General features: G+C 55.2%; 1 protein-coding gene across 4 annotated transcripts in view, besides 2 other annotated features; it reads right to left on the bottom strand.

Moving 5' to 3' along the window:
• Nucleotides 578-1078: an enhancer, noted in NCBI's record as "H3K4me1 hESC enhancer chr19:16996894-16997394 (GRCh37/hg19 assembly coordinates)". NCBI's record gives its function as "activates a minimal SCP1, AML or CMV promoter by ChIP-STARR-seq in primed H9 embryonic stem cells {active_cell/tissue: H9 hESC(primed)}" and the evidence as "EXISTENCE:reporter gene assay evidence [ECO:0000049][PMID:30033119]".
• SIN3B (SIN3 transcription regulator family member B) overlaps nucleotides 6812-16176 on the bottom strand; it is a 50952-nt gene continuing 41587 nt past the window's right edge. For all 4 annotated transcript variants that reach the window (NM_015260.4, NM_001297595.2, XM_006722704.2 and 1 more), the window contains 6 exons: nucleotides 15763-15932; nucleotides 10933-11106; nucleotides 10583-10675; nucleotides 9522-9616; nucleotides 8771-8978; nucleotides 6812-8664 (listed from right to left, as the gene is read on the bottom strand). In NM_015260.4, coding sequence (NP_056075.1) covers nucleotides 8434-8664; nucleotides 8771-8978; nucleotides 9522-9616; nucleotides 10583-10675; nucleotides 10933-11106; nucleotides 15763-15932 — 971 coding nt within the window. In that variant the 3' untranslated portion in view covers nucleotides 6812-8433. The remainder of the gene's footprint in view (nucleotides 8665-8770; nucleotides 8979-9521; nucleotides 9617-10582; nucleotides 10676-10932; nucleotides 11107-15762; nucleotides 15933-16176) is intronic.
• Nucleotides 11180-11329: an enhancer, noted in NCBI's record as "active region_14249". NCBI's record gives its function as "activates an Ori minimal core promoter by ATAC-STARR-seq in GM12878 lymphoblastoid cells {active_cell/tissue: GM12878}" and the evidence as "EXISTENCE:reporter gene assay evidence [ECO:0000049][PMID:35858748]".

Raw genomic sequence — 16176 nt, 5'->3', positions numbered from 1 at the left:
AGCTCCTCAGGAGGCTGAGGCAGGAAAATCTCTTGAACCCAGGACGCAGGGGTTACAGTGAGCTGAGATCACACCACTGCACTCCAGCCTGGGCAACGGAGCGAGACTCCGACTCAAAAAAAAAAAAAAAAAAAAAAAAAAGCCAGGCACAGTGGCTCACACCTGTAATCCCAGCACTTTGGGAGGCAGAGGCGGGTGGATCACCTGAGGTTGGGAGTTCGAGACCAGCCTGACTAACATGGAGAAACCCCATCTCTAGTAAAAATACAAAATTAGCTAGGCATGGTGACATATGCCTGTAATCCCAGCTGCTCGGGAGGCGAGGCAGGAGAATCACTTGAACATGGGAGGCAAAGGTTGCAGTGAGCCGAGATTGCATCATTGCACTCCAGCCTCACTCCAGCCTGGGCAACAAGAGTGAAACGCGTCTCAAAAAAAAAAAAAAAACATAGTGACGCACATGCCCTTATACTCAAGGGTTCCATGTCTAGGAATTTCTGCCAGACACACGCACAGGAAGATGTCCTTGGGAGGATATCCACACAGCAGCACAAAGCAGGGAGGTGCCCGCCAACAGCCCCTCCCCGGGAACAACACGGCAGCACAGGCTGTCGGGGGAACCCCAGCAAGCAGAGGTGACGATGACATTGCCCCTGTCAGGCACAAGCTGTACCCAGGCGACACTGCCCAGGTACTTCCCGGAGGACGCTGGGCGCGACAGCTTTGGAGGAGAGGAAACCATGTGTCTGTTTTGTACTGTTGGAGTTTTCTGTGCACTGTGTTACTTTCCATAAAAACTTTTTTTTTTTTTAAGATGGAGTCTCGATCAGTCGCCCAGGCTGGAGTGCAATGGCGCAATCTCAGCTCACTGCAACCTCTGCTTCCTGGATTCAAGCAATTCTCCTGCCTCAGCCTCCCCAGCAGCAGGGATTACAGGCGCCTGCCACTATGCCCGGCTAATTTTGTGTATTTTTAGTAGAGGCGGAGTTTCGTCGTGTTGGCCAGGCTGGTCTCAAACTCCTGACCTCAGGTGACCCACCTGCCTCAGCCTCCCAAAGCACTAGGATTATAGGCATGAGCCACTGCACCTGGCCAAAATATTTTTTATTTAGAGATGGAGGTTCGCTCTTGTTGCCCAGGCTGAAGGTGCAATGGTGCCATTTCGGCTCACTGCAACCTCTGCTTCCTGGATTCAAGCGATTCTCCTGCTTCAGCCTCCCGAGCAGCTGGGATTATAGGCACCCGCCACCATGCCTGGCTAATTTTTGTATTTTTGGTAGAAACGAGGTTTCATCATGTTGGCCAGGCAGGTCTCAAACTCCTGACCTCAGGTGATCCACCCGCCTCAGCCTCCCGAAGTGCTGGGATTACAGGCGTGAGCCACCACGCCCGGCCAAAATCTTATTTTCTTAAAAAGGGCAGACAGCCAGGCCGGGCTGTTTCAGAGTGGTGGCTCATGCCTGTAATCCCAGTGCTTTGGGAGGCCGAGGTAGAGGGATCGCTTGGGCTCAGGAGTTCAAGACCAGCCTGGGCAACATAGTGAAATCTTGTCTCTACAAAAAATCAAAAAATGAGGTGGGAAGATTGCTTGAGCCCAGGAGGTCGAGGCTGCAGTGAGCTGTGATTGCACCACTGCACTCCCACCCGGGTGACAGAGTGAAACTCTGCCAAAAAAAAAAAAAAAAAAAAAAAAAAAGGCAGCCTTAAAAAGTAAGGGAATTCTGACATATGCTACATTGTGGATGAATCTTGAGGACATTATGCTGAGGGAAATAAGCCGGTCACGGAAAGACAAATCCTGAGTCATTCCACTCATGGGAGGTCCCTGGAGTGGTCACCTCCATAGAGACAGGAAGTAGAATGGGTTGGGGGGTGCCAGAGGCTGGGGGAGGGGGATTGGGGAGTGAGTGCTTAAGGCCACAGTGTTTCAGTTTTGCAAGATGGAAGAGTTCTGGGCTGGGTGAGGTGGTTCACGCCTGTAATCCCTGCACTTTGGGAGGCCAAGGCAGGTGGATCACTTGAGGTCAGGGGTTCGAGGCCAGCCTGGGCCACAAAGTGAGACACCCCCCCAACCATCTCTACAAAAAAATACAAAAATTAGCCGAGTGTGGTAGTATACACCTGTGGTCCCTGCTACTCGAGAGGCTGAGGTGGGAGGATCACTTGCGCCTGGGAGGCAGAGGTTGCAGTGAGCAGAGACTGTGCCACTGCCCTCTAGCCTTGGTGACAGAGCGAGACTCTGTCTCCAAAAAAAAAAAGTTCTGGAGATGGATGGTGACAATATGAATGTACTTACTGCCACTGAGCTGAACACTTAAAAATCATTAAGATAAACTTGACCACAATTCAAATAACTTTTTTTTTTTTTTTTTTTTTTTTTGGAGACAGAGTCTCACTCTGTTGCTCAGGCTGGAGTGCAGTGACACAGTCTCTGCTCACTGCAACCTCCACCTCCAGGGTGCAAGTGATTCTCCTGCCTCAGCCTCCCGAGTAGCTAGGATTACAGGTGCATGCCACCACACCCGGCTAATTTTTGTATTTTTAGTAGAGGTGGAGTTTCACCACCTCGAACTTCTGGCCTCAGGCGAGCCGCCTGCCTCAGCCTCCCAAAGTGCTGGGATTACAGGTGTAAGCCACTGCACCTGGCCCTTTAAATAACTTTTTTAAATGGGGAAAAATTGGCAGACAGGCGCAAGTCAGTGGCGTGTCCTGGATTTCATTGTCCTCCAACCCCTCAGGTCCCTGGAAGCTCCTGGATGTGGCCTCCACTCTCTCCTGCCTTCACTGCCTCCAGCAAAAGGTCAGGGTCAGGGAACAAGTTAGAAGCCACATGGGCAGGCTGGGTGCGGTGGCTCATGCCTGTAATCCCAGCAGTTTGGGAGGCCGAGGCAGGCGGATCGCCTGAGGTTGGGAGTTCAAGACCAGCTTGACCAATTTGATGAAACCCTGTCTCTACTAAAAATACAAAAATTAGCTGGGCGTGGTGGTGCGTGCCAGTAATCCCAGTTACTCAGGAGGCTGAGACAGGAGAATCGCTTGAACCCGGGAGGTGGAGATTGCAGTGAGCCAAGATCGCGCCATTACACTCCAGCAGCAAACATGGTGCCACCTCCTCTCATTCCCTGGCTGGGCAGGGACATTAACCCAGTTGAATGGCCATGAGAGGCAGGTGCTGTGACCCTGTCTCACCAGGACTGACAGTCACTCCCAGGGTCGCACGGACAGCCATGGTGGAAGCAGGGCTTGGGGTCCAGCCTGTCCAACCCCTGGATTCCCAGCGCTTCCTCTCTGGGGCCCCAAATCAGAGTTTGTTTGCTCCACTGTACCAAGGGCTGAGGCTCCACTCCCAGAGCCACAGAGAGAAGGGACTGGCCAACCTCAGGGTGGGGCAGAATCTGAAACCTAGGCGGGACCCAGCAGCCAGCCCAGATTGCAAAGGTCCCCAGAAGGGAAGAAGAGAAGGGAAACCACAGAGGTGCAGACACATTCCTGAGACCTCAGCCTGCCTGCACCCGTCCCTGCAAGTTCCTGCCCTGGCCTGTTCTGTCCCCCACCCCCTGGCCTCCTGAGACTGACTTTGGGTCAAATTGCTTTTTTAAAAAAAACTTTATTTTTTAGAGCAGTTTTAGGTTCACAGTGAAATTCAGCAGAAGGTACAGAGTCCCCATGTAACCCCACCCCACACATGCAAGCCTCCCCCGCTATCTATGTCCTTTACCAAAAGCGGTGCCTTTGTTGCAACGGACAAAGCTGCATGGACACGGCTCTGTCTTCTGGAACCCCGCGTTTCCATGGGGGTTCACTTTTGGCACTGTACCTTCCATGGGTTTGGACATATGTGTCATGATATGTCCACCATTGACCATAGTGTCGCACAGTTGCGTCACTGCCCTAAAAATCCTCCCACCTCCACCTATGGATTACTTCCTCCCATCTGCCCCCTGGCAACCACAGATCTTTTCACTGCCTCTATACTTTTGCCTTTTCCAGAGTGTTCTATAGTTGGAATCATGCAGTGTGCAGCCTTTCCAGGCTGGCTTCTTTCACTTAGTTAGATGCATTTGAGGCCCCTTTGTGTCTTTTATTTTTTGAGACAGACTCTCGCTCTGTCACCCAGGCCGGAGTGCAGTAGCGTGATCTCGGCTCACTGCAACCTCTGCCTCCCAGGTTCAAGCAATTCTCCTGCCTCAGCCTCTGGAATAGCTGGGATTACAGGCGCGTGCCACCACGCCTGACCAATTTTTGTATTTTCAGGACAGACAGGGTTTCACCATGTTGGCCAGGCTGGTCTCAAACTCCTGACCTCAGGTGATCCTCCTGCCTCAGCCTCCCAAGGTGCTGGAATTATAGGTGTGAGCCACCACGCCTGGCCCCTTCATGTCTTCACAGCTTCATGGCTCATTTCGTTTTATATCCTGTTGTCTGGAGGTGACATGGTTTATCCGTTTGCCCGCTGAAGGACGCCTTGGTTGTGTCTGAGTTTGGGCACTGGTGAATAAGGCTGCGTATATCTCTTGTGCAGGTTTTTGTGTGGACCCAAGTTTTCAGTTCCTTTGGGCAAATACAAAGGAACGTGATTGCTGGATGGTATTCAGTTTGCTGTTTGGAGTAGTTAGCCTCATTCTCAGCAAGTGAGGACATCAGGCGGGAAGCACTGGTTATATGTTGCAAAAGCCAGTGAGACAAACACCTCACTAGCAACAGAATAAATGTTCATGGGGCCCCACTGGAAGCCCCTGTCCCAGCACCCTCTGTCAGCATCACATGTAGTGTTGTGGAAACAGGAGGAAAAGAGAGACCTTGGGGTGTATACAGGAGGATCTTTATTGAGTGCACTCAGACCCACTGGACTCAACGTCTAAAAACTGGGCCTAGAATAAAGACAGCACTTGACTTAAACACACTTTTAAAAAGGGGTGGGTTAGCTTGAAGCAGGCTTACAGTGGCGTGAAAGCAGGGATACAGAGGCAGGACAAAGACAGTTAATCAAATTATAACAGGCTCATAACTCAGGATTAGACATGACCGTTGCTGTGCAACTCAGATGGCCATTATGTAGGTTTGCCCTAGTGCTTAGCATGGCTTATTCCATGGCCATCACTATGGCACCCAGGTGGCTCTATCTCAGGCTGCTCAGACAGTTTATGACCTTCACTCCACTGCTGATAAAACAGAATATTTGAAGTCACTAGGTGTAGAGAGCAGGAATCTATAAACTCATACCATGAAACAAAGGAAAATTTGTTTTTCTTCTCCCTATGTTGAGGGAGTGCTGGGAGAGGCTCCAGAGCACATTCCTTTGTGTCTTGGCTTCTTAGTATTATTAAGACTTTTCCTGGGTCTGGGCTGTGCCTGTTGCTGCCTCTGAGACAAGTCAGCCTAATACAGGAAAAGCTTAATTCTCTTTTTAATTTTTTCTTTTTTCTTTCATTTCCCCCCTCAGTAGGGGTTCCTGAGACCCTCAGCCACCTCCCCGTACTTGACGGAGGTGGAAGGGGAGGTGCTGGACATGCAGCGGCTTTATTAATGCTGCTGTATCTATCTCTGGATAATGAATGTGGCTCACAGCCACACGCCTCTATGACCTTTTGTTTCCGTGGGTCAGGGGTCCAGCCTGGGAGGCTGGGTCTTTGGTTCAGGGTCAAATGAGGCTGAGATCAAGGTGTCAGCTGGGCTGTGTCCTTATCTGCTGCTCGGGGGCCTTTTCTGGGCCCAAGTGGACTTGGGCAGAATTTGGGTCCTGGTGGTAGTGGTGGCTCTGAGGTCCCCCTTGGCTCTTGGAGGCCACTCTCTGTCCCTTGCCACAGGGTCCCCTCCCCAGCACAGCGGAGACATCTTCAGGGCCAGTGAGGAACCTCTCTCAACTCATGTCATATCACCTCATCAAGGCCATGGGCCCTACTTGAGGGCAGGGGACCCCTCAGGGCAGGGCCACCTCGGAGATCTGCTCTTTGTCTGCTCTCCTGGGACCAGCACAGCCTTTCCCAGCCCCTGCAGCACTTCTGACCAAGGAAAGCCAGTCTGGGGGCCCACAGAGGACCCTGGGCATCCCCAGCCATGGGATCAAGGCAGAAGGAAACAGGGCGGCCTCCGGTCTGGCTTGCCACGCTCCCTGGGAGCCCTGACCCTCCGGTGGGGGTGTGGTCAGAACTGCCAGAGACGCTTGGGTGTACAGGGAGCACATGGGTCACTGGGAGGAAGCTATGGCCCCTCCCCTACAGAGGATGGAGGAGCCCATACTGAGGGGGAGGGGCTGGCCACTTCTGCCTTGGAACCCTCCAGGTATGTCAGCCAGGGGACACAGCAGAGCTGGGGCTTCTGCTACCCGGAAGCAGGTGTGGAGCTTGGGATGCAGACAGGGGGCAGGAGATGAGGAGAAAATGATGGTGAAAGCCAGGAAGTGGGTGGGGCCCCAAGGAGTACAGAGGGTGGTCGTGTGGGGTGGGTGGGCAGGCATGGGCCTGGACGGATAGGTTGGGCATGGGAAGCTTAGAACAAACACCTTAGAGCAAACACCATGATCTTTAAATTGGGTTCTGCATGAGAGACACTCGGGCGAAGGAGACGCTTCTAATTCCCACTAAATGTGCAAATGGAATGGGGAAAGAATATTCTAGAAGACACTCCCATGTCGTGGCGGGGCAGGTGCAGGGTGTGAGATGATCTTGGTTCAAGGAGGGGCTTCGACTCCCCTGGTCCCAGGTAGGCACACCCAGCCACCCCTTGCTCTCATGGGTCCAGCCCACTGACCTGGTGGCAGGAAGTCAGCAAGGCTCTCACAGGAAGACCAACACACCCTCACGGCTTGATGTCAATATTCAATTATTAACTTTAATGTGCAAATAAATAGAAAAGGAAAACTACATTCAAAACAGCTGCAAAGGAAGGACAAGCCCCAGAACAGAAATTCCTCAAGAACGGAAAAGAGGCGCTCCCTAGAAGCATGCGGGGATGGGAATACTGGGAGGAGGGGCTCGGCGGGGTCTCCGGCTGCACCCGGGGCCCAGGTGGCTCTGCCCGAGACGGCCGTGGGCCTGGTACAGGAATCTTGATGGCAAGTTCCCTTCTTAGAAAACCAGGATGTGTACAAAGTGCCTGTGTGACACTTGGGGAGCGGGGGTGGGGAGCCCAGGAGGACGGGTCAGCATCGGAATCGCCCAGCCTGGAGTCAAAGGCATCAGGAGCCTCCAGGTTCCACAGGAAACTTCTAGAAACACATCTCCACTTCCTGGAAACTTGAGTCCAGCTGTTGCAGGATGGCAAGGGTGGCGGTTATTCTGGGCCTACTGGTGTGCAGGGGCCAGGGCCAGGGGCTCTCATGGTCGGGGAGAGAGGCCTGGAGAAGTGGTCCCCAGCCCCAGTCACTTGGGATTCTTGGCACAGAAAGCCTTGGATGCCTCCATGGGACAGTCGCCTCAGCCCCTCACAAAAGGACAACAATGATCCCTGGAGTGGCCGCGTGGGTCCCAGGGTGGGTGGGCGGATGGGGCTCCTTGGGTGGCGGCTGGGACTGTCAGGGCGGCTCTCGGAGTTCCACAAAGGGAGATCTCAGCCCCAGGGAGCCGCAGGACTTGGCTGCTACAGAAATAACAACCACTAAAAGCGAAAGGAATAAATATCTGTGCGTGTATACACATACGCCTAGGGTGCCCACTGCAGGAACACGACTGGGCCCGCCGCCCCACAGCAGGGTCGTGCCGGCTCTGAGGGAATACTGGCTGGGGTCCCTCCCCTTGTGGGCCCAGAGTCCAGCTGCTGGAGTTGGGGTTGGGTGTCTTATCCAGAGCGGGGTCTCCCAGGGCACTGCCCGCCTGCTCCAGCTCTGGACTTCAAAATGGGATCCCAAAGGTTTGGCTGAAGGGTTCTTCTCACTTCCAAAGTGACTGAGGGCCTGAACACCAGCCAGGCAGAGCTGATGCCCAAACCCTCAGATGATGTTTCTGGCAGCTCTGAGAATATTCTGGAAGGACTCACTTTTCAAGCAAGCCTACCCAGGGCTCAACTCCTTCCTTGTCAGGGTCTCTTGGACATGGACCCCCTCCAAAGTGTGGGCCTCAGGAGGGCTGTCACCTGTGACTTTTCCAAGACACGGCAAGAATATGGGGCAGGAGCCATCTGCCTGCCAGGGATTTGGCACATGTGACGGACGGGGACGCAAACATGATTGCTTGTTCCTCGGCCAGCACGTCCACCCGCCCCTGTGGTGGGGCTGAGCCCCAGGGCTCGGGTGCAGGTAGCTCAGGTTTGGCACACAGCAGGCCCACAGGAGACCGGGAGCCACGGGGGCGGCGTCCTGCCCTGGAGTGCGCTGTCCGGCAGCAGAGGGGCTGGGAGATGCCTCTCACGTCGTTCAAGAAAACGGCCCCGACACGACCAAGGCCGAGGGCACGTCTGTGCTCTGTGAGGCGCCTGCCCGGTGCCCATGAGGGCGGGTCAGGGCGAGGCCGGGCGGCGGCTGTACTGCACGCGGTAGCGGGTCACGGGCAGGCCGTGCACGTGCACTGTCTCACACAGCGTCTTGCAGGGTACCATGTCCTCGTCCTCCTCACCCATCAGCCAGTCCTGCACCAGGCTAGCCGCCTCCACCGTCACATTGTCCTCCAGCCAGCGGCTGTGCCACTCCTCAAAGTGCTGGTGGTGGCGGAGCAGGACCAGGGGCTGCACCTGTTGAAGAGGCCGGGTGTCAGGGCAGCTGAGGGCTGGACCCCCAGGGCCCCAGGACTTGGGGTGAGGAGGGGCATGTCGGGGCAGCCCAGGCCTCCCCTGGCACCTGCTTGGCCCGGCAGAGGGTCCCGCGACGGTACATGTAGTCCTCGGAGTTCACGATGAACACCATCTTGTGAGTGCTGAGCTTGAAGCGGCAGTCCACGTCGCAGGCGCTCTCCACGCCCACCAGCCGCTTCCAGGAGCTCCTGGCCTCACCGCGCAGGGCCCGCGCCTGCTCGCTCTGCCACCGGCGGCGGAACTTCTTGAGGTTCCTGGGGGCGAAAGGAGGTGGAATGGACTCTGGCTCTCGGCATTGTGGGAGGAGGATTTGCAGGCTGGGAAACCCCCAGGCCTGGGACCATCAGAAGATGTGCTACCTCCCAGGGGTCCACAGAAAGCAAATGGAAGCAACAAGAAATGCCCCCAGATCTGAACACCCACCAGCAGCCCCCACTGGTCCCATAGGTGCCATCCTAGCCCGACCTGAGGTGGTCCAGGGTCCTGCCACAGCCACCCGCCTCTGGCCTGGCCCCACCAGCTCTGGCAGCGTCTCCCTCCAGTCCGGGCATTCACTCTTCACCCACTGACGCATCGTGGGGTTGGCCTTGCCCCTCCTACACCTCACCGTCCTGGGGTTACTAATCCCTCCACTGCAAACCACAAGCCTCAAAAGGGCAGGGCCTGCCTCAGCACACAGCAGGCACCTACTAAGTGCTCCCAGACAGTGTGCCATGGTCCAGCCCCCGTCAGGACAAAGGGGACACTCCCTGGGCCCAGGAAGGAAGGAACAGAGCATGCATCTCAGGGCCTCTTACCTCTGCAGGAACACAGGTTTCAGGAGGAAGCCCTCAGTGGGCGAGCTGGACGCGCCCTCGGTCCCCACATACTGCTCCACGTACCGAGCCAGGTGCTGGGGACAGGGAGAGACACAGCCCGTGATGCCCCTACAGCAGGGCTATGGCCACTCTTACTCTGGACTCTGAGTTCAGGAGCTCACAGGGGTTCTGTGCCCCCCACTGCCAGAGCATGAGGAGAGCCGCTGCAGAGGACTCTGATCCCTGACGGAGACCCCAACAGACTATAGCTCTTGACAGAGGACCCAGTGACAGCGGGACTCACACAACCAGGCCACAGCTGAGGAGCGCCAGAAGCCCCCGGAAGCTGGAAGAGCAGGAAGGATCCGCCCCAGAGCCTTTGGCAGGAGCACCGCCCGGCCCACACTGTGGTTGTGGACTGCTGACCTCCAGGACGTTGAGGGAATAGACTTCTGTTGTTTGAAGCCACGTGGTTTGTGGTCATTGTGGTGGTAGCCCCAGGAAATGAATGGGGTTGGCCTAGCTGAGTAATGTGCACACACACTGGACCTGTTGGCAGGTGCCGGGAGCTGCAGGCCCCAATGACCACCCTGGGGACACACACGGGTCAATGCCTCACTGTCACCAGGATGCGGGAGGTGAGCAGGAAACATCTGTCCCCGCAAAAATTGTGACTGGGAGCTGGGCCCAGGTGGCTCCTCTGCTGGGGATTAGGAACAGGATGCAGCCCTGACACAAGAGGTGCAGAGGTCACAGCCACGGGATGCCCTGAGTGGGAGTCGGGGGCCAGGGAGAGGTGGCTTGGTTCCCCTCCTGCCCTGGGACACAACCGCTTGCTCAGGAGGAGTGGTCTGCTCTTTGGAGAGGGGGCACAGAAGAGAGCCTGGTGGGGGAGCAGGGAGGGAGGCAACCCCACCCACCAGGCCTCAAGGAGAGCCTGTGGCCTGCAGAGGGAGGGTCTCTGGATGCTGCGCGGCCTGCGCTTGGCTGGTGGGAGCCCCATGCTGCTGCCCTCAGGCGCTCCCTGGTATGCGTGGCACAGACTGGGGCCAGGGCCTCACCTGGACCTCCACAGGGTCCTCCGTCTGGGCCTCCTCGGTGTCCAGGAGCTCGATGGTCATGATCACCTGCCCTTTGCGCTGCAGGAACATCACCTGCGGAGCAGGAACGCTGACAGCCTCCACTGCCGGCACAGCCCAGCCGGCACAGCGCAGGCTCGCAAGGCCACCCGCCTCCCGCCTTTGCCACCCTCCCAAAGCCCTGATGCTTCCTGCAGGTCAAAGGTACCTCATGGGCTCTGCAGCAGGGCCGGTGTCCCAGCCGCTGAACCAGGGTCCACCCAGGACTGAGTCCAGAGCGGAGTGAGCGGCCGGGCCTCCCGGCGTGTTCCCAGCCCCAGGCCTCCTCTCACCTTGAAGCAGTTCTCGTCGGCCATGCAGCGCTCAGCCTTCCACTGGTAGCTGGTCTCCCTAGCAGCGCGGACGCAGCGGGAGGACAGGTTCCCACCAGCGGCACCCCGCTTCTTCTCGTTCAGGTAGAGCTCCACCACCTTCAGGCAGACGTCATCGCTCACGAGGTGGTGCAGCTGGCGGGAGGAAAGCAGGTGGTGCGGCCACCCCGCCTCCTGCGGGAGTCCCCACCTCACCCACAGAGGAAGTCGACAAAGGCCAGAAACACATCAGGATGGAGAGTGCATGACACAGGGATGAAGAGACCAGAATCCTGACAGGCTGTGGGCAGACCAGACCAAACAGACCAGACCAGACCAGACCAGACCAGACCAAACAGACCAGACCAGACCAGACCAAACCAAACAGACCAGACCAGACCAAACAGACCAGACCAGACCAGACCAGACCAGACCAAACAGACCAGACCAAACAGACCAGACCAGACCAAACCGACCAGACCAGACCAAACCAGACCAGACCAGACCGAACCGACCAGACCAGACCAGACCAGACCAGACCAAACAGACCAGACCAGACCAGACCAAACAGACCAGACCAGACCAGACCCAAACCAGACCAAAACCAGACCAGACCAAACCAAAACCAAACCAGACCAGACCAGACCAGACCAGACCAAACAGACCAGACCAAACAGACCAGACCAGACCAAACAGACCAGACCAGACCAAACCAGACCAGACCCAAACCAGACCAAAACCAGACCAGACCAGACCCAAACCAGACCAAAACCAGACCAGACCAAACAGACCAGACCAGACCAAACCAGACCAGACCAAACAGACCAGACCAGACCAAACCAGACCAGACCAAACAGACCAGACCAGACCAAACCAGACCAGACCCAAACCAGACCAGACCCAAACCAGACCAAAACCAGACCAGACCAGACCCAAACCAGACCAAAACCAGACCAGACCAGACCAAACAGACCAGACCAGACCAGACCAAACCAGACCAGACAGACCAGACCAGACCAGACCAGACCAAACAGACCAGACCAGACCAGACCCAAACCAGACCAAAACCAGACCAGACCAAACCAAAACCAAACCAGACCAGACCAGATCAGACCAAACTAAACCAGACCAGACCAAACCAAAACCAAACCAAACCAGACCAAAACCAGACCAGACCAGACCAAACCAGACCAAACCAAAACCTAACCAAACCAAACCAAACCAGACCAAATCAAATCAGACCAGACCAAAACCAGACCAGATCAGATCAGACCAAACCAAAACCAACCAAACTAGACCAGATTAGACCAGACCAAAACCAGACCAGACCAGACTAGACCAGACTAAAACCAAACCAAACCAGACCAAATCAAATCAGACCAGACCAAAACCAGACCAGATCAGATCAGACCAAACCACACCAAACCAGACCAAACCAAAACCAACCAAACTAGACCAGATTAGACCATACCAAAACCAGACCAGACCAGACTAAAACCAAACCAAACCAGACCAAACAGACCAGATCAGACCAAACCAAAACCAAACCAAACCAGGCCAGATCAGATCAGACCAGACCAGACCAAAACCAGACCAGACCAGACCAAACCAAAACCACACCAAACCAGACCAGACCAAATCAGACCAAATCAAAACCAAACCAAACCAGACCAGACCAGACCAGATCAGAGCAGACCAAATCAGACCAAATCAAAACCAAACCACACCAGACCAGATGAGACCAGACCAAAACCAGACCAGACCAAATCAGACCAAACCAAAACCAAACCAAATCAGACCAAAGCCAGACCAGACCAGACCAAACCAGACCAAACCAAAACCAAACCAGACCAGACCAGGCCAGACCAAAACTAGACCAGACCAGACCAGACCAAAACTAGACCAGACCAGACCTGAACAAAACAGACCAGGCCAGACCAGCAAACCCTGCCCGGGTGTGAGAAACACACAGAAAAGACACGGAAAAATATGTTCCAAAGCAAACCCAGGAATGAGCTGAAGGTGGCCTGAGTGCAGGCTGTTCCTTTCCCCTAAATGCTTGGCTGTAAATACACTGCTACTCCTTTTACCTTTGCACTGAAGAAGGAAGGAATGGAAACAGCAGGGATCGTGGGGCAGACAGGGCTGTGTGAATCACCCGCCTGCACAGCCCAGGCCCTGGTCAGGGGACCACACTCCTTGGGGGTTCCATGTGCAGCTTTGTTGAATGGATACAATAACACCTGGACACGCATAGGTTTCAGACAGTACCTGGCACACAGCAAGTGCCCACTGAATGCCAACTGCTACTGCTAAAAAACAGCAATGCTAATTTTTAAGAAAAAGGGAGGCAGAGTCCAGACATGGCCTCGAGGCAGGTTACAAACAGTGTGGAGGGGCCCGCAGTGAGCACCTGGCCCAGGGAGATGCAGCTGGGGTGTGGTGCAGCCACAGCTGGGACAGCAGGGCAGCATGTGGCTCTCACTACAGCTCCAGCCAGACAGCCCCATTTTCATTGCTTTGTTTTTAACAGGTTCTAGAGGAGTTGTTTATGGAAGGGGGGGATTTTTTTAAAGCATTAATCAATGCTTTCCATAAACCATCTGGTCCAATCTCCTGGTGTCACAAGCAAGGTTGCTGTCCCCGAAGCCATGGCCCATGAGGGGTGCCCAGCCTGGGGGGGGGGGGAGGGGACAGACTGCCAGCCCCCTGGCGTCCCCTGCGTCACTTCCCCAACACCATGTGCTGGGCCCTGGGTGTCCTCTCTCCAGGCTGCCCCGTGCGTGTTTCCCTCACCTGGGGAGTGGCCACTGCTGTGGATGGTGATGGGCAGGGACCCATTTCGGGCACACGGAGGGAAAGTGGAGGGGGCTGAAGCGAAGGTGTCAGAACGCAGCTATGGGTTTCACTAAGTCCTCATGGCCAGACACAGAAATCCTCCCAGTCACCAACAAGGCAGACGCAACGGAAACAGGCGCAAACACCGTGGATAGCTTTCCATGAGAAAAGATGTCCCAACGGCCATGAAAGGACAGGGCCCCAGCCACATTTGCCATCAGGGAAATGCAACGTGAGCCCACCGAGATTTGAACTCCCAGCTGATGGAGAGACGCCCCTGAGCCCCAGGGAGGACACAGAGTGCGGCCTCGCACAGCACTGGTACGAGTGACCCAGGAAACGGAAAGTTGCCATCAGCGGGACACACCTCTCTGTGCCTTACCCCAAGGGCAGCAGCAGAAATGTACATAGACGGCCACCGCAGACACACCCACGGGGCACCGCCCATGCCTGTCCTCAGGAGACAGGTGGACGGAATCGGGGGTCGTTCCTCGGAATCCTTGGCCGGTTCATCTCAACACAGGAATCTCACAGAATGACGCTCCCAGGATGCGGCTGGGCGCTGTGTGCTGCTGTTAACACACAGCTCGAGGCCAGGGATCTACCTCTCTGTAGAAATCAGGGTTGTGATGCCGGTGCGGTGGCTCACGCCTGTAATCCCAGCACTTTAGGAGGCCAAGGGAGGCGGATCACCTGAGGTCAGGAGTTCGAGACCAGCCTGCCCAACATGGTGAAACCCCCTCTCTACTAAAAATACAAAAATTAGCCAGGCGTGGTGGTGCGCACCTGTAATCTCAGCTACTCAGGAGGCTGAGGCAGGAGAATTGCTTGAAACCAGGAGGCAGAGGTTGCTGTGAGCAGAGATTGTGCCATTGTACTCCAGCCTGGGAGACAAGAGCAAAACTCTGTCTCAAAAAAAAAAAAAGAAGAAGAAGAAAAAGAAATCAGGGTTGTGGGTGTCCATGGGTGGCAGGTGGCTGGGTGGGGACACAGGGGCAGGGGTTCTGTTGATGAAAAGCCCATCCATCTGCCCCCTTCAAATTTGGGGACTTTTCTGCTTGGGTATTTTAGCTCCATTAAGCAGTCTTTAAAACCTGGAAGGAAACGTCCTGTCTGAAATGCTTCTCGTGGCTGTGTCTGGGTGGGAGAGTAATGGCATTATTTTTTTTCCAGCTTTTTTTCCACTTTATGATGAACAGCCTTACTTGGTGACCAGGAAATGGAGGTCACCATGAACAATGATTCTGGCAGAAACCAGGCAGGACCCATGTCCTGGAACCACACCCAGCTCGTCTGGGACGTCTGCTGTTTATATTTACGTGACCAGTTTCCTTGTGTTGACATTCAGTGGGGCCTGGGTTTTTGCTACTACTAAAACCAACGCAGATGAAATCACTATTCCCACCCTCCCTCAGGATAAGTGGGTTAAGGTTTTTTCCATGTTGTCAATTTAACCTCAAGAAAGGTTTGTCAACAGGGACACGGAACAAAAACTTGTACACAAATGTTCAGAGCAGCATTGCTCACAATCTCTATAAGGCAGCCACAGCCCAGATGTCCACCAAGAGATAGAAACAAAACGTAGCTACCCACGCAATGGAGTATTACAGAGCCATAAAAAGGAATGAAGCACGAGGGAAATACAGAGGCAGAAAGCAGTTGACTGGATGTCAGGGGCTCGGGGCAGGGGAATGGGCAGTGGCTGCTGATGGGGATGGGGTCTCCTTTTGGAAAGATGAAATGTTCTGGAACTAGACAGAGGTGGTGGTTGCACAATATTGTGAATGTACCAAATGTTACCAAACTGTACACTTCAAAATGGTTAATTTTACGTTATGCGAATTTTGTCTCAATTAAGAAAAAACAGGATAGGTTTGCTGTGCTGACCACGGGCCCCCTCCCGAGCGGGGAGTGAAATGATGGTAGAGCCATTTCCGCCGTCCTCAGGGCCGGCCCCACCCCGGCCCGGCTCACCTGCCGCGCAATGTTCTGCACCAGCTTGTCCATGGTGAAGCCCACGTAGGCATGGATGGTGAACATCTCGCGTAGGGTGTCCTCGTACTGCGTGGGGTCGATGCTGCCCTCCAGCAGGCTCCGCACCATGTCCAGGAAGGCCGGGTAGTACTCCTCCAGCTCCACTTCACCTGCGGAGACACACCGCCTCATCCATATGCCTCCTGGAGAGCGCAAAGTCACGCAGGCCAAACTCTGGCATGACAGAGCCCCAACAAATGCCCCCATGGGGCCCAACAGCCCTCACCTGCCACCCCTGGGGCAAATGTGGGAATCACCAGGAAACCCGAGTAGCTGGTGTTCACTGCCACCCTCCGAGGCTGCCTAATCTGGCCGGCAACCCAGGGATGGCAGCGAGAATGCTGTGGAGGCCAG

Source organism: Homo sapiens, chromosome 19 (assembly GCF_000001405.40).
Source record: "Homo sapiens chromosome 19, GRCh38.p14 Primary Assembly".
Lineage (NCBI taxonomy): Eukaryota > Metazoa > Chordata > Mammalia > Primates > Hominidae > Homo > Homo sapiens.
The sequence above is the reverse complement of the archived record's forward strand: the minus strand, read 5'-3'. Positions and strand labels throughout refer to the sequence as shown.